The sequence below is a fragment of the Homo sapiens genome, chromosome 4 (genome assembly GCF_000001405.40).
Source record: "Homo sapiens chromosome 4, GRCh38.p14 Primary Assembly".
In the NCBI taxonomy this organism is placed as follows: Eukaryota; Metazoa; Chordata; class Mammalia; order Primates; family Hominidae; genus Homo; species Homo sapiens.
Genome location: NC_000004.12, coordinates 70,619,541 through 70,646,845, shown reverse-complemented (window position 1 = coordinate 70,646,845; position 27,305 = coordinate 70,619,541). Strand labels below are relative to the sequence as shown.

Below are 27,305 nucleotides of genomic sequence, written 5' to 3'. Positions count from 1 at the left end.
AAATCATTTGGAAAAATAAACTAGTGAAACAATAACATTTTTATTTTGAAAGGATAATTCTTAAAAGACAGTTTTATACAGAATAAGTTAATGAATTTTTCAATGTGTGATTAAAATATAAAACTGGCCAGGGGGAGGGGAATGTAAGCAGTAGGGGATGGCCTGGATAATCTACCTCTAAGATCCCTTCTAACGCTGAAATTCTATGATGGAAATGTTGCTGAATATATAAAGCTACGGAGTGGTGGCTCATTCAGCATCCTAGACAGTCACCTTTCAGGAAAAGCAGACTACGGTGTTTTCATGGGAGTGTTGAAAGTCATTAAAAAATGAATTGATATATATTTATTGGGTACCTTCTATGTTGAAGACACTGTGCTAGGTACTTCAGAAGATTCAAGGGCAAGATTCCTTTTCTTAGGAAGTTTTCAACGTTGTGTTTCCCCAAATTTTTGAGATGTTGTTATGAAATCTGCCCCTGAAGATGTATCCTAAGAAATCTCTTAAAGTTATAAAGTATGTTTTTAGGTAATTCTGAGACTTTTTTCCTGCTCTAGGCAAGGGACATCCAGATAATAGGCCAACATGTTATTAATAAGAATAATAATCCCTGATGTATTATAAGCAAGGCATATAGAAATATCCACTTTTCAAAATAATTTACACAATTTATTCAAGATACCAAGAAAGAGTGTCTGTAAGTAATTCTGCATGGACATGAAGAATGTTAGTAGTAGCACATACTGGTAGAATCCCTTATGCTGAACTAGTAAAAAAAAAAAAAAACAACTAAACATTGAGTTTTTATTTAAGACAGTGTTTCCCAAAATGTCTTCTACAGATCCTGCGGATTATGAATTGGCAGTGTGTGGCAAGTCCTAGTCTTTTTTCCTGGATGTGCAGTCTCAGAGCGGCAGTTTCTTCAGTTCCTCATTCTCCATCTTCCTAAGCCTTTTCCCTAGGCTGCTAGTTCTGGGTATCCTGCCTTCCCTTCTCCTTAAATACGTCTCTCTAACTGAACTGTGTCTACTTGGTAGAGACCCTAAGATAACTAAAAACAAAGTAGCTATCAGTGTCTACCATTTCCAAAATATATTCTGTAATGATGGTTAAGCTGGGTCAAGAAAAATTTAGGGTACGATTTGGAGAGTGGATACAAAAAGGAAGAGAGTGACATGCAGTCTTAAGATGAAAATGGTGTAACAGGGAAAAAGATAAATTGAAGGGAAGAAAGGAATCAGAGAGGAGAGGGATTAGTTGATAAGTGGTACATTGGGAGACAGAACAGATAGGTTGGAAGAGACGAAGACATAATGGAGGAGGTAGACATAAAGAAGAGACTAGAAATGGTTAAAATAGCTAATTTAATATGTAAGAAGTGATATACAGAGAGAAAAAGATGAGGATTAGAAAGCTAAATACAGAATGGTTGAGGGAGAGAGAAAAGAAGGAAGAAAGCTAAGAAAAAGAAATGATAAAGGTAAAGAGAGTGGCAGTGGAAGAAAAAAAATGCTTGAAGAGAATATTGAGTAGGAAAAAAACCTGACAAGATCAACACAAGCAAAAAACGTACAGTGCATCAGGACTATACTGATGTGTGGATCTCCATAAGTAGAATGGAAAGTTAATCTGCCTTTCAGTCTTGAAAAACCAATTTTGCAAGTATGGAACTTTGAGAGCAAAAGAAGTCATCAAGCAAAAGGAAACTAACTCAGACAAGTGACTTGCAAGTTTCGAGGCAGGGATGGTCATGGCCTTCTTGCTTTTTTAAGGTCTGCACTAATCTGTGAAAGTGCTAGATCTGGTGATCCCCAGAGGCCTAATCTCAGCTCCACCTGGGTCGCTACTCCTATTGCTGAGAGGGGAGAAAACTTAAGGATCACCAAGACAGTCAGACACTTAATTAAGTCTTGGGGAAAAAATTTTGGGAACCATTGGTATAGAATGTCAGTGATTTCTCTTTCCCCAAGAATGCTTGGTTGGATAACCCCTAGGCCTGAAGTAGTAAGCAGTCTTGTACCTGGTCCTGTACATTGGTCCCTCTTTGAAGGAATTCAAATGGACTGTGTTCATCTGCATCAAGTGGGTCTACATTTATACTCTTAAATTGTTCCTCAGTAGCTAACTCAACCAATGTGTTAGGATTTTCAGTAGGCGTAATTGAATCCCCATCAAATGGGCTTTGCCTTCCATCGCTAGATGGAGTTCCGGTGGTGGAAGAGTGATGCTTTGCTAATTTGGAGCCAAAGCATGGCAAATGCAGAATGTTAGATGGTCTTTGCTGTTGCCTCTCACTCTCATTTTCTTGGACTTGACTTTGGATGCCTTCTGGATTGGAGCCTTCATCAGGTGTACCAATAACAAGCTGCTCAGGAGTAAGGTCAACAGTTCTTTCATTGAGCTGGTTGTCTTCAAAAACTTGTTCCAGAATGTTGTTCCCATCTCCTCCAAGATCATTTTTGAGACAAGGTGTATTCTTTGATTGAAGGGAACTGGCTTCAGGAAAGGGCATAATTTCCTTTTGGCCCAGTTGATTCTTTATAGAACATGGTGTGTTCCTCCTCAGCGTGGACACATCATCTCTAAAAGGGTTTTGGCTTTCCCTCTTCTCTGAGCTGTTTCTTTGGCCTGGTAGGATGCTTGTTGGGGAGATGATATCTCTTGTCTGCTTGGTATGACTACCGTCTGTATACAGAGGACTGGTGTCTTGGTTCTCCCCAGGTGCAAGACCATAGGATGGAGTGTAGTCTTGTAGAGCTAGTGGATTGTCCTTGGGCCCTGTGGAGCTACCAGCACAGCAAGAGCCTCTCTGGCTTAGGTGAAATAAATGTGCTTCTTTTTGACCTGATGGGTAACTTGGTGGGATGAAGTTAGGGAAAGATGAATGTTCTCTCTCTGGAGAATTCATCCTAGTTATTTGCATGCCATAGTTCAAATTCTCACCTTCATGCCATATTGGATTTTTCTGAAGCCCAGCTGGGGTGTTACTGTAATAGGGCTGGTTACCTTTCTGGTCTGGTGGCCTAGCTGGGGCTTTTTGTAAATGTGTTGCCTGATCCCAGATATTTCTGTTAAAATACGGCCTTCTTTCTCTCTGCCCTTGGGCTTGTATCCTGTGGTCCCAGGAATTCCGTGAAGGAAATAGAGTGCTTTCTTCTGGTCCAGCGGCATTATTAACGTAGTAGCCCCTGCTCTCTATAGGTGGTGGCATAGTAGAAGCTGTATTATATGATGGAAAATTCTCATCCGGGCTCCATGGGTAAAATTCACTGTAATAAAAATCCTCCCTTGGTTTTGATGGATTATCTAAAGAATAGGGAAGATATTCCTTTGGCTGATTTGAGGTATATTGTTCACCTTCATAGTGCCTAACTGTTGGGCCTCCTTTGAAGCTCAACTCTTCACCCCATCTATTTTGTCCAGGAAAGACTTCATCTCCAGTTGGATCAACTGGGTCCTCTTCATTATAAGGGACTATCTCCTTCTGGTCTGGGGTATTTATGGGGTAGAGTGGACTTTCTTTTTGCCCCATAGTATTGGGAGAATCATCTCTCTCATCCCATGTATTGCCTCTAAGGTATGGTGAGTTTTCCCTGGGATCATATGGGTTATATTCAGGGTAGAAAACACTTCCTCTAGAACCATGGGAAGGATGGGGTAAATGTTCTTCTTGCCTCCCTGGATCTTCCTTAAAAGGTGGAGAGATTTCTTGGTGGTCCCAAGTATTTCTTCCAGCAGGAAAATGTTCTTTTGCAGGAGAAGGGATTTCCTCAGGGTATACAGCAGGCTGATATGAGCTGTGCTTTAATTCTGACTGATTAGTTTCTGATTCATATGGCATCCTTCTTGACCCTAAAACAATCCCTTTGGGCAAATTCTGGCTTTGGGTTTGTCCATCAGAATTTGGGACTTTTCTGGAATCTCCTCTTGGGTAATAGGAGTTTTCATGTTGATCAACAGAATTAAAATTTGGGACTGGCATATAACCCTCAGAGTGAGGCAGTTTATAATTTGATTTATTAACTTCATACTGTTGAGAGTTTCTCCAGGGGCTGGTTGGATTCTTTGTAGGAACTATTATTTGTTCTTTTGGACCCAGGGGCTTCTCCTTTGGATTTTGGATTTTTTCATTGCGAACAACAGGGCCAGGTTTGGGACCCAGTGGGGCAACAGTAGTTCCTACAGGGTGTTTATTTGGCCCCTGAGGCTTTCTTCTGAGATTTGCTGGATTTCCTGCATAATTGGGATAATTGCCTCTTGAAGTAGGAGGGTAAGCTTTGTGATAAACTGGATTTCCTGGACGAGCTACTTGTTTACGTTCCCAAGCAAAGAAGTTCCACCGAGGACCCCTTTGAACTTGTTGATTTCTGTAAAAAGGCCTATTCTGTCTGTGCCCCATGACAGTACCAGTGAAATACCACTGTCTTCCTGAAGGAAAATTTCTTATATTAGGATATGGATGATTTTCACGAATATTTGGCTGACTTGGTCTCCATGGGATTTGACTTCCTGGCCCTCCCTGGCCTGAAGCGTTGACTGCAGGGAGTGGGCCAATCCCATTTTGAGCTGGAGGGTTGTTCCCAGTGTTTAGTCCTGGGGTACTGTTTCCTGTGGGGCTGGTGTCATTTCCTCCCTGACTCCCTTTAGGATTTGGTTGGGTAGAATTCGTCTCAGTGACTGTTGAATTAGCTGTGGGTTCTGTGCCTGGACTTTCTGCTTTAGGAGGATCTTCTTCTTTGGGTTTTTCAAAATCTTGTTCAAACATTTCTTCTGAATAATAAGGAGGGCGACCCCCAAAGCCATGATATCCAAAATATCCAAAGTAAGGATTCTGTAGGAAAGAAAATGGAAATCAATAATTGCCCTTTGTTTCCCACCATGGTGTTGTTTGGAATTTTTTAGTATAACAGGGAAATCTTATCAGCCACATGATTCTTTTAACATCATTAGCTTTACTTTCTTTCTTGAAATTTGATTCTTCCTTGGTTTCCATGACCATACTCTTTCTGGTTCTCTCTCCTGGTATTTTTTTCTGACCACTGCTCAGCTTTCTCTTTTTAGGCCTTATACATCTGAGGGTTTTTGTTTGTTTTTCTGTTTTGTTTTTAATGATTTCATCCTCCATCCTCCTAATTTTTCTGTTCTGTTTTTACATACCTCTTTTAAGAATTCTATTGCACCTGTAATCCCAGCACTTTTGGAGGCCGAGACAGGTGGATCACGAGGTCAGGAGTTCGAGACAATCCTGGCCAACATGGTGAAACCCCGTCTTTACTAAAAATACAAAAATTAGCTGGGCATGGTGGTGCACGCACCTGTAGTCCCAGTTACTCAGGAGGCTGAGGCAGGAGAATCGCCTGAACCCAGGAGGTGGAGGTTGCAATGAGCCCAGATCGTGTCACTGCATTCCAGCCTGGCAACAGCGAGACTCCATCTCAAAAAAAAAAATAAATAAATAAATAAAATAAAAAAAAATAAAAGAAAGAAAGAAAGAAAAAAGAATTCTATTGCATCAGCCCATGCTTTTAATAGGCATAGACTGCTAACAACTCCCAAAGGCATAATTCTAACCCACAACACTCTCACCCAAGGTTGAGGCAGCAAAACATCTCCACTAAAGATTTCATGAGTACCTCCAACTGAATGCACCCAGAACTGGGCTCATCTCCCGTGAAATCTCCTCCTCCGATGTTCTATATTTAAGCAACATTCACCACTATCTGTACAGTTTCTTAAGTTTCTGCTCTCTCTTAGTACTTCAGACTATTAATAATCAGGTCCTATAAAATCTAAACTTTCATCCTTGTTCCCACTTCCTTAATCCACAGTACCCCTGAACTGTTACAGTAGTTTTCTTACTGGCTACTCTGGATACAGTCTTACTTTCCTTTAATCTTGCTTCTGCACTGCCGTCAGAGTATTAGAGGCTGAGAGTGGGTATATGGAAATTTGGCCCCTTTCCTCTTTAAATTTGTATTTAAAGTTCTCCTTTACAAAATAAACTCTAAATCCCTTAACATAACATCAAAGCAGTACAACATGCTGCTAAACAGTGGGGCTCTAGACAGATGTGCATTAAAATCCCCGTTCCACCAGTATTAGTACTATGACTCTGGGCCAACCTTGGTTTATTCATTTGTAATATGGAGATGATAATAAAATAACGTCTACCTCATAGGTTGTCATGAGGGCCAAATGAGACAAAATAAGTACAGCTCAGTGCCTGGTACTTAGTAAGTGCCTAATAAGTGTTATATATTATATAATAATAATACAATTTTTAATAATAATCTGGGCTATAACTATTACATTCAGCCTCATTTCCTCCCCCTTGCACTTTATGCAGTTGCAAATCACAACTACGTTGAATTCTCTGGGTTCTCTATTCTTTTTATGTTTCAGTGCCTTTGCACACGGCTTATTCATATTGAAACTTCTTCCATTGACACATTTATTCCTCCTGGCAAATTTGACTCATCCTTCAGAGCTCAGTTTGACTTCTACCTTCTGTGTCTTGACTTCCATGGGCAGAATTAGGTCCTATTCCTAGGAGTCCACAGCAGTACAGATTTCTGTCATCACAATTATCCCACTGAATTTCAGTTTCCTATTTTCCTGGGATTCTTCCATTTAATTCTCCCATGTGAAGGTTTTGAATGAAAACATTATGCTTCTCATCCTTGTTTTCCAGTACCGAGGAGAGTGGGATGTTCTTAATAAATTTTCATTTAATGAATGATTTAATCATCACGAACTCAGTCAGTATGTTTGTTAGACATTTGTGTGGCATTTAGATCATTTGATTTTTCTTTTTAAAACAAATGCAATATAAAGAAAAGTATTTTAATCCCCATTTGTGGATGGAGATGAGAAAGACAGGCAAGGAAATATCTCCCAAGATCATGCAGGAAATCAGGTAGTGCCCTCAAGAGGTAGAATACAGACATCTTAGTTTTTGAGACAGGGTTTTTCTTTGTTGCCCAGGCTGGAGTGCAGTGGCAAGATCAGGGTTCCCTGCAGCCTTGAATTCCCAGGCTAAAGTGATCCTCCCACTTCAGCCTCCTGGGTAGCTGGGACCACAGGCACGTGACACCACGTTCACCTAACATTTATTTTATTCTCCCTATGTTGCCCAGGCTGGTCTTGAAATCCTGGGCTTAAGTGATCCTCCTGTCTCAGCCTCCCAAAGTGTTGGGATTACAGGTGTGAGCCATTGTGCCTATCTAAATTCAGATTTCTTTCCTTTTTTGTTTTTTGAGACTGAGTCTCGCTCTGTCGCCTAGACTAGAGTGCAATGATGTGATCTCAGCTCACTGCAACCTTCCCCTCCTGGGTTCAAGCGATTCTTCTGCCTCAGGCTCCACAGTAGCTGGGATTACAGGCCAGCACCACCATACCCGGCTAATTTTTGTATTCTTAGTAGAGACGGGATTTCACCACCTTGGCCAGGCTGGTCTCAAACTCCTTACCTCAAGTGATCCACCTGCCTCAGCCTCCCAAAGTGCTGGGATTGCAGGTGTGAGCCACCCGTGCCTGGCCTAAATAAAAGCTTCTTAAAGCCTGTGATAACTGCCTGGATCTTTCTGCTTCCTTTCTTATGTTACTCATATGAAAATTAGAAGTGCCACTTTCTAGGTTGCATACAATTATCTGAATCATTTTTATTTGGGGTTATTTCATGATATATTTGAGAGCGCCTTATACCATTACTGACACGGTAATCTTCAATGTTATTTTAAGAACAATCTCTGCCAGTTGCAGTGGCTCATGCCTGTAATCCCAGCACTTTGGGAGGCTGAGGTGGCTGGATCACTTGAGGCCAGGAGTTCGATACTAGTCTGGTCAACATGGTGAAATCCCATCTCTAAAAAAATACAAAGATTAGACGGGTGTGATGGCACACACCTGTAATCTCAGCTACTCGGGAGGCTGAGGTATGAGAACTGAATTGCTTGAATCCAGAAGGTGGAGGTTGCAGTGAGCCGAGATCGTGCCACTGCACTCCAGCCTGGATGACAGAGCGAGACTCTGTCTTACAAAAAAAAAAAAAAGAAAGAAAGAAAGAAAAGAAAGATAAGAAATTGGCAGTCATTGCAGGGACTGAGCAGAGGAGCAACAAGATGAGACTATTGTTTTCACAGGTTCACTCTGGCTGCCATGCTAATAATAGACTGTGGGAGATGAAAAGACTTACTTACAAAATGTATATATACATAATCTTAAAGCTGAAAGGGACCTCTTAGAGCAGGTAATGCCAACCTCTCTTTTGTTTGAGATAGTCTCGCTCTGTCACCCAGGCTGGAGTGCAGTGGTGCTATGGCTCACTGCAACCTCCACCCCCAAGGCTCAGGTGATCTCCCACCTGTCTCAAAAAAAAAAAAAAAAAAAAAAAAAAAGAACAATCTGTCGCCCACTCTCCAGTCAAGCTATTAAGTTACCACAGTTCACTGAGGACATATCACATATTTAGGGAAAAAGAAGTAAGCTCCAGGGGGGTGGGGTGCTATGCCACAATCACTAAAATGACTTTTTAGATGACATAGAGCTGGAATATTAAGAGTATATCACTCTGTGATATACATTTGGTTCTTCTCCTAGTGTGGTATAGTAAAAAGGCCATTGAGCAGAGTAACAGAAGACTTGGGTTCTGGGTTCAGTTTATCCAGTAACTTAAAAGTGAAATTGAGTAGTAATTGATCTTTTCTTGGCTTCAATTTATTTGTATTAATATAATCAGGAAGTTAGAGATCACTTAATTTCCTCTTGAGGATAACATTCTAAGAAACTCTTACTTCTTTCTCTGTTTATCACTGTCTGGAGTCCACCATCAATCTTTGGACCACTGGCTTGATTTGTTTAACTTTTTTATTTTCTAAAAATCACGGAAGCTTGAGCTACAGGTTCATGTGTTGGATTTTAACTTTCTTATTAGATGTGGATAAAAAAGCAGGGGCGAATGGATTGTAATTTCTAGTGGAGAATGTAGTTTTACTTGTACTTACCCCCCCTTCTTCATTGCTGATTGGTGGGCGTCCATAACCTGGTGGTGGTAACCTCTGAGAAGTGAAAAACACAGTGAACACAGGAGAAAACCACGTTCGATGCCGCCATTTGTTTGTAAGACTCAGGGTGTCTAAAAATAGCTCAAGTCAATGATTGAGCTCAGTTAGTACTCTGAGCTTTTAGCGTTTGAGTTATTAGCTCTCACAGTCCAGCTGCTAAGAATTATGATCTAACAGTGAATACTGGTAAATACAAAGGCTTCAGCTGGATCCTAGATTATCCTACTTAAAATACTCTGTATGGCTGCATCTGTTGGCAATCCTCCTTACCACCTCCAACACTCAAAAACATACCCTCCACAACCCCCAACAAACACACACCATGCACACACATACAGAGAGAGGGTGAGAGAGAGAAATTTGAGTGCTGTTAGAATCCAAGTATCCATATTAGAACATCTAATAATAGAGATTAAGTAACGATGTTATTTTTAGAATGTGGCTTCATGTTTAGGGGGACAAACTCCAAACTGACAATCCTTGAATTATTACTATGATATTTTTATTTGACTAAAGTTAATTCTCCTAATCAAACTTGGAGGCCGAGTTTCTGCTTCTCAAGTTTTATGTAGATGAGATTAATAGTTACTTCAGCATGAGAATCATGTTTATCTGTTTTTAAAATCTTTACCTTGTACTGCCTTAATTTCCTTAGTTCAGCATAGCCAGTAAAAGGAAGTCACTCTTTTAAGGAGGAAAAATGTAAGGAACTCTTACTCCTTAAAATGAATTGTTCCTCACTGATAAAAAGCCTTCTTGGTAATAGAGTTGTAGACAAGGAAAACCTATGTCATAGCTGAATGAACAGTCAACAAATATTTCCTGTTGTTTTGTTTGTTTAGCAGCAACTGGCCTTTAACATTTCTTTAGTTCAAAAAGTTTATTTTGCCATTCGTATTTTTAATGCCTATGATGCAATTTCAATATTATTTTTTATTTTAATGATTTTAAACGTTTAAGATTCTTTGAGGCTTCTTGTAAACAATATTTTGCAAGATCTCTTTTTTTTTTTTTTGAGACGGAGTCTCGCTCTGTCACCTAGGCTGGAGTGCAATGGCACGATCTCGGCTCACTGCAACCTCTGCTTCCTGGGTTCAAGTGAGTCTCCTGCCTCAGCTTCCTGAATATCTGGGATTACAGGTGCCTGCCATTATGCCCAGCTAATTTTTGTATTTTTAGTAGAGACGGGGTTTCACCTTGTTGGTCAGGCTGGTCTCGAACTCCTGACCTCAGGTGATCCGCCTGCCTCGGCTTCCCAAAGTGCTGGGATTACAGGCATGCACCACCATGCCTGGCAAATTTTTGTATTTTTAGTAGAGACGGGATTTCACCATGTTGGCCAGGCTGGTTTTGAGCTCCTGACCTCAAGTGATCACCCATCTCGGCCTCCCAAAGTGCTGGGATTACAGACGTGAGCCACCTTGCCCAGCCCCAAGATTCTTTATAATGATATATCTGTGGCTAGAAACAGTAAGATAGGATGAAAATGTCTAATCATAGCTCACCCTGTGGTTTTCAAACTCCATTTTGTCCTGTGTCCCAGTTTCCCCATTACATTAAATGAAGATAATTTGTGTGTTTTTTAAAAATTTCTTAAGGATGTGGGGAAATAGTAATGAAGTAGTGCAACCTTTTAAAATTAATTTATTAGCTAATTTATTAGTATCTGTTTGGTGATTTAGGTTGTATTTATGTCACCAATTTGTCTGAGTATGAAATTCAAAAAATTATTCTTTTTCTGCATGATTACTGATGCACTGGTTTTGTTTCATACCATCTACTGATTGGTATATGGTATTCCATTAGAATGTATGAATTTATATTAATTTAAATTATAACATACTAATATTATTTTTCACTTACAGTGTAAAGAAAAAAAAATTTCTCACCTGTGGAATTTGCCATGGTGGTTGTTGATAGGGGAATAGCCCATTTCCAAATGGTGGGAATGCCTAGAGAGAAAGAAAGAATCAGAGTGATGTGGTATTGAAAAGAATACATAAAAAAATGAAGGAAACTAACTAAATACAATTGAAACTTGGGAGTCTACATCTCCCTTTGCATTAAACTCTGTGTTTTTTATAGGGCAAAGACGATAATGATAATAACAATTAGTATCATTGGACACACATTCCAGGCTCTGTGCTGAGCATTTTATATTGTTAAACTCATTTCATCCTCATATAACCATAGAAGATATAAACTATTACTATTCCCATTTTACTAAGACCATGAAGTTCAGAGAAGTTTGGTCACTTGCCCAAAATCTCATTGCTCGTAAATCACTGAAGCCAGGATTCCAATCCAGGAGTGTCTTTTCATTCAATTTGGTACTCCCTATGTCTGTAATAGTGTCTGATAATAAGTGTTAACTGACCAAAAGCCAGTATTTTCTTTTTATTTTTTTGAGACAGAGTCTTGCTCTGTTGCCCAGGCTGGAGTGCAGTGGCGTGATCTTGGCTCATTGCAACCTCCACCTCCCGGGTTCAAGCGATTCTTCTGCCTCAGCCTCCTGAATAGCTGGGATTACAGGCACGCACCACCAAGCCCAGCTACTTTTTGTATTTTTAGTAGAGACAGGGTTTCACCATGTTGGCCAGGCTGGTCTTGAACTCCTGACCTCAGGTGATCCACCTACCTTGGCCTCCCAAAGTGTTGGGATTACAAGTGTGAGCCACCACGCCCGGCCTAAAAGCCAGTATTTTCGAAGCTCCCTCCACACTGGATGAGATCTTGAGAAACCATTTGCACATCTTCTTACCTTATGTCATACTAGTACTGGAAGCAATGTTAATTTAAGAGCAATATTTTAGAGCATCAAAGCACAGATTTGGATGAAACTTCGAAACTATTTAGTTTACTCATGGGGAAACTGGAACCTAGAAAGGTGAAGTAACTTGTTCAATAGCATACAACTAATAAGGACCAGGCATAGGACTTGAACCTTTGATTCTCGACTGTTAGATTAGTGCTCATATTATTACACCATGTTGTCTCTGTAATTTAAAAGGAGCTTTTAAAAGGCAACAGTATTTGGGTAATTTCAACCAAACAAGATTGGAGTCGACTTGCCATGCAGTTTTGGATGCATGTCAAAACAAACATTGGTATTGCAACAGAGTACCTGTATTGAAGTGTGTATATGGGGGTGGCATGGCCCTCCAAATCTCTCCGAGGCCATTTACAGATATGGAATTTTTCTGTGCAAGTCTCACCTGAGGGGGTTGAGCTTCCTCTTCGGGCTGAGGTTGATTATGTGATGGCTGCTTCAAAGGCCGCTTTTGTGGTGGCTTTTTTGACTGAGTCTGGTTGGGTTTCTGGGTTTCTTGGGTCTGATCAGTCTTGTTATGACGTTTGGGTGCTGAGGATTTCCGTGGATGCCATGTGTTGGGTGGTGGCTGAGGCCACATGGGCATCTGGTACTGTGGAAATTGCTGAGGGAGACCGTTTCCAAAGAAGGGCCCCAGGTGTGCCATCTGAAAGGGTAGCAAATAATAGTGAAATCATAATAGAGCTGTGATTCAGGCTGTCTCCATCCTCTAATGTCAGCCTCTAAAACTCAGCCAAAGAGCTTAAAAGTCCTGGAACTTGACTTAACTATGGAAGCTTCCAGATCTTTAGTTAGAATTTCCTTACACATTGTCTTACAGAATGAACTTCCGTCTTCTAGAAAGCCAAACAACCAAAACAAACCAAAAGGCAGAATTAGGTGGGAAATCTCAGTTTAAGAATTTGACTGATGATTTTCTAACTCTGAAACCCTAACTCAGGTCAGAAGTATACAAGTCAGGTTACAGAAGATTTAATGTCGTATTCAGAACCCATGTGATTTGTTATAAGGCTGGATGAAGAAGAGAAAAAACAAAAATAAGATAAAGGAAGTGAGACTGTAAACAAAAAATAAAAAACAAGAAAAAAAGGAAAAGAGAGGATAAAAATTCAGTCTGTGTAAACACACTTATATGGTGTCTATGGTTCTTGGTTACAGGTGGATCCTCATTAAATCCATTTTTTTATCAGAATCACCACAATTACAAAGTTGGGCAGGGAAGCAAAAGTAGTTATAATCTAAAAATGTTAATTTATAAATTTATGATAATTTATAAAAATGCTAATTTCTAAATTTATGATAATTTATGAATGATCAGTCTTGCAACATCAGTTCTCATTCAAATATTTCCTCCCTGGTTTAACACCTGTCTCTATACCCAGTCTTCATTAATTAGTCTCTTGCTATCTATTAGATGATGTACCCACGCTTTGTGGATTGATGAAATTCAAAATTGCAAATATTGCACTAAGACACAGGATTTCATGACAACTAAGTTGGTAAAAATTTCAAATCACAGGTAAAGTCACTAAAACTAAAAACAGGGGTATGAAAAAGTTGAGCCAATCAAAAGTTGAGGAAGAGGAAATTTACAATGATTATTTTAGGCAAAGAGCTTTAAAAGAGAATGACTTGGATAAAAAGGGTTACAAAAAAATGGATGTAGTCCTTGATTTTCCCCTCAAAATGGCCCTCATGATCATTCCATGGAAATCAAAAGTGATGTGTAGTGTTATTATGCTAACATACAATTTTATCAGAAAAATTGTGCCAAAGAACCACCTGATACTTGATTTGTCTGTTCTGACAATTAGCATACAGTGACAAGAATAACCTATATTTATTTAAATAACATAAAACTTGCTTCATAACTGTAGTGTTATCTTTCAAGATAATCCAAGTAAAACTTACCCCCCACCAATACTTACTATGTTATTTTTATTGTCATTATTTGTGACATCTTATGTGATATTTTCCCAGAACCATCTTTTCTTGACTATACATTTGAGACTCAGTCTCAAATAAATAACATTTCTCATTAATAATTATTTTGATTTACATGAAAGAACAATAGTAATGAATAAGAAGAAAATTTGGTGTGAGAGGATAGGGGCAATAATTTTTCCACCTTGAAACTTTTGTAATGATTACATTATACTTAAAACATGTGGATTGGTGTCTCTATTGACTAAGGCAAACTTTATAACGGAGTTATCTAGATAAACAAGAAATCATCAGAAATAACATAAAGAAAAACTTACATGTGGGCCGTTCATAAAGTTGAATTGATTATACCGCATCATCTGCAACCAAAGGAATCCATTAATGTGATACAAAGTGAAACTTTTATTAAATCAATGCACAAATCGTAAGAAATAAGTAAAATTTCTTTTTTTAACCTTAGAACTTCCCAGTGTAAAAATTTCTGATTTTAATGCACAACAGTCATATCACCTTTTCCTACTTATGCTTGAATTTTAAGAAAGTATACAATTAAAGAAGCTTCTCAGGCAGTTTAACTTTTAAGTCAGAATTTTATTTTGAGAATAATCAATAGAGAATCATAGAAAATAAAAGTCTGATCTACTGTAAAGTTTTTGAATGTTCTGTTCTATTCTTTTTGAGTTCAGGATTTGAGAACATGAGAATTATGTGACAAGATGATTCATCTTTCTGATATGTATTGAATTTGATTAATGATCTGGGATATGAGTCATGTGAAAGGTATTTCTATTTTTAAGCATCTACCTTCTAATAACCCTTGGTACAATTGGTCACTTTTGCTAGCTAAAAAACTTAGCAGATAAGGTAACATCAACTAGATTTTAACACAAATCCACATCTACCTTGAAAAGGAACACTGAAGTACATAGGTAGGCTGATGGCTGGGGAAATTACTACTTTGCCTCGATTTGAGAGTTTAAGACTTTCAAATCTCCCTCTTTTTACCTTTTTCATAAGAAATATTATATATGAGACAATTTTCCAATATTCTCCTTTTTAGTAAATGTGTAGGATAGGACTCTGGATAACTTCTCCTCTGAGACTGAACGTACATACCTCCTCACTTTTACTGCTAAATCCAGGCATTCGGGGCATGTGCATCTGGAAGTAAGAGAATGTCAGTGACAAATGCAGAACATCAGTTGAAATAAGCTCAACAATTGTTCCTAACGGAACACAAAGAGAAGAGCTAACATTTAAAAAATACTCACTGGCATAGCAACAGAATTACCAAGAAGCCCTAGAAAGACCAGGAGAATCTTCATTTTGCCTTTTGGTACCTAGAATAAAAAATTGATTTTTATTTTTGGTCTGTGAAATAAGTATGCTTAGGGCACTCTGCACTTATCTAAGTACTAGCCTACTTGTCTGTCAAGGAGAGTATGGAAATGGATGGGGCCCCTGCTGCCAGTTTTATTTTATGTCAAGAAACTATTAGATAGTTATCATCTGGTACTTTTCAAGCTGCCAAAAGAGTCAGATTAAAAGGAAATATAAGTGTGTGTGCGTGAGAGAGAGAGACAGGGAAAGAGAGAGACAGGGAAAGAGAGAGAGACAGAGAGAGAGAGAAAGAGAGAGATATCATAGCACCAGAATGTGAAAATTAGAAATTAGGAGGTTATCCCCCAAATAGGAATATTAATGGGTTTGAGTTTCTAGTTACTAGTTGATTTATAAAGAAATAGTGATGTCCAACTACATTCATTGTACAGAATAATCTCAGTTTCAAGGAGGGCACACTCCAAAATCAAAACTTTGTGCTACTTTCTAAGATGTTATAGATAATATTCTGTTATATAGAGACTAAGTAAACTGGAATATGCAGAATCTTATTTTTTTCCTGGTTTCCTCTATTGTTCCTGTTATTATTATTATCATCATCATCACTTCCTTTAAAAATCACTTATGTGGCCAGGCGCGGTGGCTCACGCCTTAATCCCATCACTTTGGGAGGCTGAGGTGGGTGGATCCCCTGAGGACAGGAGCTTGAGACCAGCTGAGCCAACATGGTGAAACCTTGTCTCTACTAAAAATACAAAAATTAGCCGGGTGTGGTGTCTCACACCTGTAATACCAGCCACTTGGGAGGCTGAGGCAGGAGAATCGCTTGAACCCAGGAGGAGGAGGTTGCAGTGAGCCAAGATCGTGCCATTGCACTCCAGCCTGGGCGACAGAGTGAGACTCTGTCTCAAAAAAAAAAAAAAATCACTTATGCTCTAAGATGGTCAGGAAAATAGGAAGAAATAGGAAATAGGCAGAATAGTAAATTTATCTCTTTATTAGATACCTTGATTAAACATATAGACTTATGTATGAAGTTTGGAGATTGTTTTTAACGGGGTTCATTCATTTATCCCACTCTAGTTAATTATGAAAGACTTGTAAAATTAAGTCTCGTATTTACATCTTGGAACAAGGTTTATTCTGAAACATTTACTTGAGTAATTTCTTAAGAAAACTTTCTATTTGCATATACAATAGAGGAAAATAAAAGGTTTTAATCAGAATGATTCATTTTCATCGTATATCAGATATAGTCCATTTCCTAGCAGAGTAACCAACATGTAGACACTCAGTTGTTTTCATTCCTTTCATTCTTTCTTCCTTTTCTGGACATAAAATCTATCTAGCATAATTGGAGCCAATGCTCACCCTTCTGTTTACTTCCTATAGGAGCAACATAAATGACGCTTTAGCATTTTTATAATGGACATTTTCCTAAATTGTGGGTGTAATCAGTTATCTTTCATACATTAGAAAAATTGGCAGAATGTAATTAAACAAAGGAAGCAGTAGTATGTAAATACCTTTCCTACTATTTAAAGATTTTCAGAGTTAGAACATCATAGAGAATGAAAATAACAGCTGAATGTTATTTTAGAGTGTTTAGTATAGGTTACAACAATATGTGGAAACTAATAAAGAGAATACTGGTGAAAGCTTTCTTTGCTAAATGTTTCTAAGATTATGGCCCAAGATTTAAGGGTGCTTTTGGATGGTTAATTTCTGCCTTGCTTAATCATTCATCTCATCTCTCTAGTAGCTGTCACAGTGATTCTTGATAATATATGTAGCCTTTATATTTGCAAATAGAAAACTCATTTTCTCTTTTGTAAAATTAATATATTATGTTGGATGACTGAGATCCCTTCCATCTCTAAAAGTTAGTGATTAAAGTCTATAATTAGTTATTTTTTGAGTTGAAAGTAACACTCATAATGATTGCCACAAAGTACAATGACTGTGTAAGTTCTTCTTCCATTCCATCTGTGAAAGCAGATGCTCTTTGAGTCTTCTGATACATTTCAGTAGTGTTTGGCCCTCTCAAGTGTATTTCTGACAGTATCTAGTTTGAGAACCTGTATGTATTGGCAAAAATAAATGAAAGTACTCACCAAGTTATCTAGTTTAGGAAAAGAGGTTCCAAGCCTGCACCGAAGCACCAACATTTTTTTCAGCAAAATTTTTATAAGCCTTTAAGAAAAATACAGCTTTAACCTGAGAAGAAACTAAAATATAGAAATGGAACAAATAAATGAAATGAATAGCAAAGCTTCAGTTCTAAGGCAGCACATGTCATGTTAATTATTTTATCCAGTCATACCTGTATTAGGGGGCCACAAAATCAAGTTTAATCTTCTGTTGCTTTAAAAGTAGGATGAAAGCTAAATCAGAGAGGAAATGACACAGGCACTGTATTTTGAGATACTTCTAGGGCGATGTTGACAAAACTAGACTTCACTATGGGGAAATGTACAAAGTCACAGTAGTAAAGGAGGTCTAAGAAGGCTGGAAAAAACTTACAAGAAAAACAAATACACCAAATAAACCAAGGAGTTTAAAGTTTTATCAGAAGATTAGTCTGCATACAATGATTATACAACCAACAAGAAGGAATGCAATAAGGAGAATTAACCAACATCTATGAATTAAATTCATTATTTGACACTATATGTAATTTATGTTGATAATCTCTAATACTCACCCAATGCCAATTAGAAGCTGTAATATATAAAAAATAATTTTTACTTGAACTTTGTTAGCTTGCCTTTGAAATATATTCTTAATGGTCTATAGTGGAAATAACTACAAATTGCTGAAGCCAGGGAGATCTCAAGAAGCAAGATACATTTATTTCTTAATAATAAAACAAAAATTCTTCACTCAGATATCATGTTCAGTATCAAAAAGGCTCAAAATAAAAAGATTCCTCCTTGTCAGAAAGCTTGGCACAGCAAGGTTCCATTTAAGCACTGTTGTAGACCTGCATAACCAATCAGCTTTGAGGAAAATGGTTTTGTCATCACAAGAGTTTAAGGTAAAAAACACACATCGAATTTAAAATTTAGAATGTGTTATTATAGGAGCTGTCAAGTCAAGTCTCTTATTACGTATAATAACAGTCCAGGAAAATGAGCTTACAGCAGTAAGATTTAGAAGATGCTTCCCTTGGTGAATTTGGCTTTCAAAGTATAGAAACTATGTTTATAACAAAGATATTTCAGGAACAAAGGCGAATATTAACTGTATGCTATTGTCATAAGTCAGTTGCCTTCATCAAAAGGCAGGCTAATATATATATTTACTTAATATACATTTTATATGTAATTAAAATGAACTGGAATGTTATATCCATGGGTGAAAACTCAGTGACTTGATTTACTTTGTATTACATAAGGCTAGCAGGACATAGTGTTCTTTTTGAAGTCAAATATAATCCAGTCACTGGGGATTCAGAATTTTAGATGAGTTGGGTACAATGGCAAATGAACTCTCAGCTATTATGATAATACAACTTAATGAAAATAGGACCTGAGTAATTTAATGAAACAGTTATGTTATGGATTTTTTTCCTGAAATCTGACTTTCCATAATAAAGATTTCACTTTCAAATAGATAGGCCAATTGCACTTTTAATTGACAAGAGCAAGCTTTGCTATCTTTGCTTAACTTGGATTCTCCTGTTCTCTTATGGCTTCACAAGAGAAAACATTTGTTGTGGCAATGTTTGCTTATTTTAATGTTGGGATTTAAAAACCAAGAATGAATGAACTTGATGGCAAAACCTGTTCCTACTTGGTATGATTGTGTATATAAGTTAATCCAGTGGTTGCCCATGGTGCTGTTCTTCCAAGGACAGAGAAGTGCTGTGTCATTCCTTTTGGGCCAAATAGCATTGTATTTCTCAGTGCCTCTCTGCTCCACATATTTCGTGCCACAAATAATAAAAATGTGCTAGAATATTTGACTTTAAATGAAGCTAGGACTATCTTTTAACTCTATGTGTATCCAAGATGTGCAAAGTTAAATCTGCTTCAAGTACCTGCTTGCCTTTGTCTGATTTTGTAGAAACTGAGTAGTATTTATCATATTGTGTGCACATTGAGATGAATTTGCAAATGGTAGGACACTTACGGGACAGTGACCTACAGTGTGTTCTTGGAAGTGAAATGGGAGTTCTGATGCTGGATGACCTGGCCTATCCTGTGCCCATTCATGTAGAGGGTAATTTTTGATTTTGGCCTTACCCATATAGGTTGTTGGGAGTTGCCACTAAACCTCACTTTTGATCACTTTCCTCTATTTACCCTTGTTCTCTTGGCCACAAGGGTGGTTAGTTGTCATGAAATAATTCATGTTTCTAAAATCCAGCCAAGCTATTGAATGAGTGAATTCTTAGTACTGTTGGATTGGATTGGGAGAATTACCAAATTTCCTTTCATTTAAAGGAAAAAAAAAAGCTCAAACTTTATAATTTTTTTTTTTTTTTGAGACAGAGTCTGGCTCTGTCACCCAGGCTGGGGTGCAGTGGCGCGATCTTGGCTCACTGAAACCTCTGTCTCCTGGGTTCAAGTGATTCTCCTGCCTCAGCCTCTAATGTAGCTGGGATTACAGGCATGAGCCACTGTGTCCAGCCTATAAAATGTTTTGAAATCAGTCCTTTATGAGTTTTTCCCCCTTTACTTTATCTCTATTTATTTTGTAAATTATTTTTCCCTTCAGGCAATTACAACTGTTTGTGAAACATGTTTATGATTTGGCTTAAATTTTTTTTTTTAATGTATCTCTTTGATTTTTTTCTCTACATTACCCTTCTCAGTCTTAAAATAAGATGTGTTAACCTGGGAGCTGAAACCTAAGAAATTGCATATAAGAATTTGTGCATTTGTGTGTAAATGTACCATTTTTTTCTCCCCCTGAAAAAGAACCCATATTCTCCAGGGGGCCTGTGAACTTCTTCCTTTGCCTCCACTCTTTAAGGTCCCCTCATTGCTCTAGATTTTAAGCCAGCAGGAGCAGAAAAGTCTTTTGATTTCATACTCTAGATGTAAGGGAAAGAGGCTGGGTTTTGAAATTGCCAGATCTAAGTTTAAACCTTCCACAAATTATCCAGCTGTTCAATTTCCTGTTCAGTAAAATGAGGGCAATATTACCTTCCTCATAAGTTTCCTCTAAGAAATGAATGAAGTAATAAATATAGCTTGGGCCACAAAGTGGGACTCCATCTCTACAAAAAAATATATTAACCAGCCACAGTGGTGTGTGCCTGTAGTCCCAGCTACTCGGGAGGCTGAGATGGGAGGACAAGAGGGCTCCTCAAGGAGCCCAGGAGGTCAAGGTTGCAGTGAGCTATGATCGCACCGCTGCCCTCCAGCCTGGGTGAGGCAGAGAGAGACCCTGTCTCAAAAAAAAAAAGTGAAATGCCTGGCTCCTAGTAGCCGACTATCAGTGACTGACTGATCAATACACAAAGGTACTTCATTGTTCCACATTACACCTTATAATGATTTACTAAGGATTTAAGAACAATAAATTCAGCCATAGTTCTCATAGTTCTCAGAGCAAATAGATCCTCCAAGTACAACTATGAAGGTAAAGTTCTGTGGATTAGTATTAACAGAACACTCCAACACTGCAGGATCACTGAATGAAGCGCCTGAGACAAAGTAGTGTCTTAGGGATCCATTACTGGTGCCAAATAGTGTCTAAGCATCCACAACCTTGAATTCTTTCTGAAACCATTCATTCCTATAGCCTGTTCTCAGGCTGTAAATGCGAGAGATCTTTCTATCAGAAGAGAAGAGGAGGCGCAGTTTAATTCCTCACAAATTAAAGGACTGATAATGCTTTATTCCATAAACATTTTCTGAGCTTTCTCTTCATGCAAGCCCTGACTTGGGTGCCCACCCATCCTGCACAGAATATTACGATAGCAAATTTTCTGAGCTAGAACTCAGTGGTGGGTTCAAATTCTGATTTCTACAACTTACTTGTTTTAGAATTTTGGTCAAATGACTTAACCTCTTTAAACCTCAGTTCCTCATTTGTAAATGGGAGACAACATTCTTTTCATGGGTTTGTTAGGCAGATCACGAGGTCAGGAGATCAAGACCATCCTGGCCAACATGGTGAAACCCAGTCTCTACTACAAATACAAAAATTAGCTGGGCTTGGTGGCACGTGCCTGTAATCCCAGCTACTTGGGAGGCTGAGGCAGGAGAATTGCTTCAACCAGGGAGTCAGAGGTTGCAGTGAGCTGAGATGGCGCCATTGCACTCCAGCCTGGGCGACAGAGCAAGACTCCGTCTCAAAAAAAAAAAAAAAAAAAGGAATTTAATGAGATAACTTAAAGTTCTTAATATATACTTCAACTAAATATTATAAATAAATAGATAAATGTTACCTATTATTATCATTAGAGCTTTCTCAATAGTTGTTTTATTACTGCTCACTGTCACATTTCCTAAAGATTTCTGAAGAATGTTTCACATCATTGTGCTTACTTATTCATTAAAAAAAGACAGCAAACAAAAAGCCTCCCAAAGAAAAACTGAGCATCTTCATAGAGTATAGAAAAAAGGAAACTAGGCCGGGCATGGTGGCTCACGCCTGTAATCCCAGCACTTTGGGAGGCTGAGGCAGGTGGATCACCTGAGGTCAGGAGTTTGAGACCAGCCTGGCCAACATGGTGAAACCCCATCTCTACTAAAAATACAAAAAAATTAGCTGGGTGTGGTGGCGGGTGCCTGTAATCCCAGCTATTCTGGAGGCTGAGTCAGGAGAATCACTTGAACCCGGGAGATGGAGGTTGCAGTGAGCCGAGGTTGCATCATTGCACTCCAGCCTGGGCATCAAGAGTGAAACTCCATCTTAAAAAAAAAAAAAAAAAAAAAGGAAAAAGAAAAGAAAATAAAAAGAAAGAAAAAGAAAAAAGGAAACTAGATCACAGTGTTTGTCAGATTTTATTTAATTTAAATTCTACTTTTTGTCTACTAATAAGAAAGTTGCTCAGTGAAGTCAATGAGTAACTATTGTTGGGTGGTGATTTATTAGTATTTGGATAACCCTCAGAGGTGGTGTTTATTTCCTGGGCTTCTAGCAGTAAGAACTCTCTTATATGTACTCAAGATCAGCTTCTTTCTCTCGTCACCTTGAGAAGAAAATAAAACCCAATGGTTAAGAAAACAGGCATTGGGGTTGGAAATACTGAATAATGTATACACTGTGCTTACAACAGTGCCTGACCCAGTAAGTGTTTCAGATGGGTTAGGTGTCATCTCATCATGGAAATAATACATTATATCTCATTACATTTCTTACAACAATTTTATGGTTTATTTCCTCCTTTGCCATAAAAAGAAGTATGTAACACTCTGTGTTTTCCTGTCACTCTGGTTACTAGGAAACTCAGAGCTAAATTTGATTCCTACTTAACAGAGGATCCAGGTTATATGAAGCCAAAGCTAATTAGATTTTAAGGGATCTCTTTAAGAAAATGAACACAAAGTTAGGTACAAGCGTAAATATTTGTTTTGATGAACTATAGAAATGATCCCTGAAAGTACGGTCTTAATATTTGTTTTCATACGACAATAAATTGTAACAAATTTCAGATTTTAAAAAGGTGACAAATAGTACAAATATCACAAAATCCAGAAAAGCAACTTAATATTTTTCCTAACTGCCTGATGCACCACCATAATAACATCTGATTCCATACATTTCAAGCCTTACTTTCCCTCTACCACATACATTTCTAGTGCCAGCTTCAATGGACACATTCATATGGAAATATGAGCCCTGATCCTGCACCTTCGGGTTGCATGTTGAATGAGTAGGCATTCAAAGTTAGGCATGGGAGGTAGAAATATTTCTGGAAGCTGTTCCTAGATGAGGAGGGCCAGCAATATTTTAACTATATACAGAAGTAGACTGTGAATTGCATAAATACACCCCACTAAACCCAAACTAAGTCTCTCCCCATCTCAATTTCCTCAAAATACCCATTGGTATCCCAATATCATTTGATTTGACAGAAGTGTGATGAAAAGAACATGGGAGTAGAAAGAGAAAAGAGTCTTAATCACTTGAGGGAAAATTTTACAAAACCTCATGATCATGTGAACATATTGTCTGGGCCCCTCCTAGGGAGTGGAAAAATTCTGTGCTTCATCAGTTTCATGGCGACTCTGTCTCTGACCCTATATTAAGCCTGTCTGTGAACTTTCTGCTTGGGCCTACCTCCTAACTATCCTAACCTTATTACTATTTCTTGCTGTGAACGATCTAAAAAATGTTTTGAGAAGCGATATGTGTATATATATGTAATATATGCATATATAAATTAATTTTTATATACATACATATATAAATTATATAATACATATATGTATCTACATATATACATATTAATATAATTTATATTATGTATATACAAATAATATAATTTATACTATTATAATTTATGTTATCTATGTATATACATAGTAATATAATTCATATAATTATAATTATAATTATGTTGTAATATAATATAACGTAATAATTAAATTATATTATAATATAATTATATTATTCATATATATTATATGTTAATTATAATATATATAACATATTATATATGTTATACTTCATATATAATGAGTATTATATAATATAAATATAATAAATATATAATATGAATATTATATAGTATAAATATAAATATTGAATAAATATAAATATTATATAATTATTATTATATATTATATAATAAATATTATTTTATATATTATATAATAAATATATATATTATATAATATATAGTATTTACTATATACTATATATTATATATTATACAATGTACATTATATAATATATAGTATATATAATGTAATAAACAATATATATAATATAAATCATATATTATATGTAATATATTATATATACTATATATTATATATTATATTATATATAATATATCATATAATATATATTATATATTATATAATATATAATATATATTATATATTATATAATTTATTATGTAATATATATTATAATATGTATTATATAATATATTATTTATTATGTAATATGTATTAAAATATGTATTATATAATTTATAATTTATTATGTAATATATATTATAATATGTATTATATAATATATGTTATTTATTATATTATATATTGTAATATAATCTTACAATGTAATAATGTAATATAAATATAATATATATAATATAATATATAATATAAATATTATATAATATAGTATATAATATAAATATTATAATATGTAATATAGTATATAATATAATATAAATATTATAATATAAATATGATATATAATATAATATAAATATTATAATATAATATATCATATAATATATATAATATAAATATTATAATATATCATATAATATATATAATATAAATATTATAATATATTATATAATATATATAATATAAATATTATAATATTATAATATATCATATAATATAATATATATAATATAATATTATATGTAATATAAAATAAATATTATAATATTATGTATAATATAATATATATAATATTATATGTAATATTATATATAATATTATACATAATATTATATATATTATTACATATAATATTATTTATATTATATTATATATAATATATTTATAATATATATATTTATAAATATATAATATAATATATTTATATTATATTATATATTTATAATATATTATATATAATACAATAATATTTATTATATATTTACATTATATTATATGTAATACAATAATATTTATTATATATTTAAATTATATTATATACAATATAATAATATTTATTATATATTTATATTATATTATATATAATATAATAATATTTATTATATTATATAAATATTATATATATAAAAATTATAATATATAATATATGTTATATATTATATGTATATTAGTATATATTATATTATAATATATTATTACATATTATATTATTATTATATATATAATAAATATATTATATATTAATTCTTATATAGAATATATTATTTATATTATATTATATATATTAATTAATATATATAATATATAATTATATTATATATTATATATATTATATTATATATAAATAATATAATATCAATATATTATTATATTATATAAAAATTATATAAATATTATATTAGAAAATATTATAATATTATATAATATAATATAAATATAATAATATTATATAATATAATATAAATATTATAATATTACATAATATAATATAAATATTATAATATTACATAATATAATATAAATATTATAATATTATATATAACATTATAAATATTATAATATTATATATAACAATATAAATATTATAACATTATATATAACAATATCAATATTATAATATTATATATAACAATATAAATATTATAACATTATGTATAACAATATAAATATTATAATATTATATATAACAATATAAATATTATATATAATAATATAAATATTATAATATTATATATAACAATATAAATATAATATTATATATCATAATATAAATATAGTATTATATATAATAATATAAATATTATTATATATATAATATAAATATTATAATATTATATATAATACAATATTAGAATATTATATATAATAAAAATATTATAATATTATTTATAATATAATATAAATATTATAATATTATTTATAATATAATATAAATATTATAATATATAACATATAACATAATATAAATATTATAATATATAACATATAATATGAATATTATAATACATAACATATAACGTAATATGAATGTTAGAATACATACTCTATAACGTAATATGAATGTTAGAATACATACTCTATAACGTAATATGAATGTTAGAATACATACTCTATAACGTAATATGAATGTTAGAATACATACTCTATAACGTAATATGAATGTTAGAATACATACTCTATAACGTAAGATGAATGTTAGAATACATACTCTATAACGTAATATGAATTTTAGAATACGTAATCTATAACGTAATATGAATGTTAGAATACGTAATCTATAACGTAATATGAATGTTAGAATTCATAATATATAATGTAATATGAATGTTATAATATATAACATATAACGTAATATGAATGTTATAATATATAATATATAATGTAATATGAATGTTATAATATATAATATAATATAATATGAATGTTATAATATATAATATAATATAATATAAATGTTATAATATAGAATATATAATATAATATGAATATTATAATATATAATATAATACAAATATTATAATATATAATATAATATATATAATATAATACAAATATTATATATATAATATTATATATAATATAATACAAATATTATAATATATAATATAATATGTATAATATAATACAAATATTATAATATATAATATAATATATAGTAATATAAATATTATATATTATATAATATAAATTTTATATGAAATATTATATAATAGTATTAATATATAATATATATATATTAATAACTTAATTTATATTATTAATATGTATATATGCATATAAATAATATAACTTAATTAATAAAATAAAATAAAATAAAACAGTGACAATAAACCCTTCCTCATTACTATTGTCTTGTAGAAAAGAACCTTGGAATGCATAACAAGAATAACTTCATTCACTATGTGGTAGGCACTGTGCTAAGTGCTTAGAAGACTTATTTAAAATTCACAGAAACCCTGTGGGATAGGTACTATGATCCCCCACCGACATTTTGCCATTGAAAAAATAGAATCTTAATGAAGTTAAATAAGTTGTTCAAGGCTAAGAGGTAGAATAGGAATTTGAACTCAGATCCGCATGAGGATACTTCACTGTCAATAGTGTAACCATATACAATATCTATGTTTTTCCAGGTGTTAGGACAGCAGGACAAATATTCTATAAAATTCTTTTTTGTAAAAATCAATTGTGGTATGAACTTAAATGAAATGGGCTTGAGAAATTTCAGTTCTGAAGACTGACGTAAATTATGATTTTTTGAAAGTCCAATTGCATGGAAAGTAGAAAAAAAAAGCCTTGCTTGTCTCGAAATCAAGAATGTACTCTCTTGGTATTTGAAATGAAATGTATGCTGGGCCGGAT

At 34.3% G+C, this 27,305-nt stretch overlaps 1 protein-coding gene across 2 annotated transcripts; it reads right to left on the bottom strand.

The window, feature by feature from the left end:
- On the bottom strand, positions 22-18,102 carry ENAM (enamelin). 2 transcript variants are annotated; one of them, NM_031889.3, is made up of 9 exons: positions 17,882-18,102; positions 17,292-17,405; positions 15,108-15,176; positions 14,953-14,997; positions 14,154-14,195; positions 12,278-12,538; positions 10,952-11,014; positions 9,003-9,056; positions 22-4,831 (listed from the first exon to the last, which is right to left on the bottom strand). In NM_031889.3, the coding sequence occupies exons 2-9, from the start codon at positions 17,343-17,345 to the stop codon at positions 1,991-1,993; spliced, it is 3,429 nt and encodes a 1,142-aa protein (NP_114095.2). In that variant the 5' UTR covers positions 17,346-17,405; positions 17,882-18,102; the 3' UTR covers positions 22-1,990. The 2 variants fall into 2 exon arrangements, with proteins under 2 accessions (NP_114095.2, NP_001355062.1); NM_001368133.1 differs by lacking the exons at positions 10,952-11,014; positions 12,278-12,538; positions 14,154-14,195; ... (2 more) ...; positions 17,292-17,405; positions 17,882-18,102 and having other exon boundaries at positions 9,003-9,135.

Excerpts from the sequence above, each read along its gene's own strand:
- ENAM (NM_031889.3), bottom strand. The coding sequence starts at position 17,345 with ATGTTGGTGCTTCGGTGCAGGCTTGGAACCTCTTTTCCTAAACTAGAT. Across the intron at positions 15,177-17,291 it reads TTCCTAAACTAGATAACTTG|GTACCAAAAGGCAAAATGAA; the intron begins GTGAGTACTTTC and ends TTTTTATTCTAG. Across the intron at positions 14,998-15,107 it reads GTAATTCTGTTGCTATGCCA|ATGCACATGCCCCGAATGCC; the intron begins GTGAGTATTTTT and ends TCTTACTTCCAG.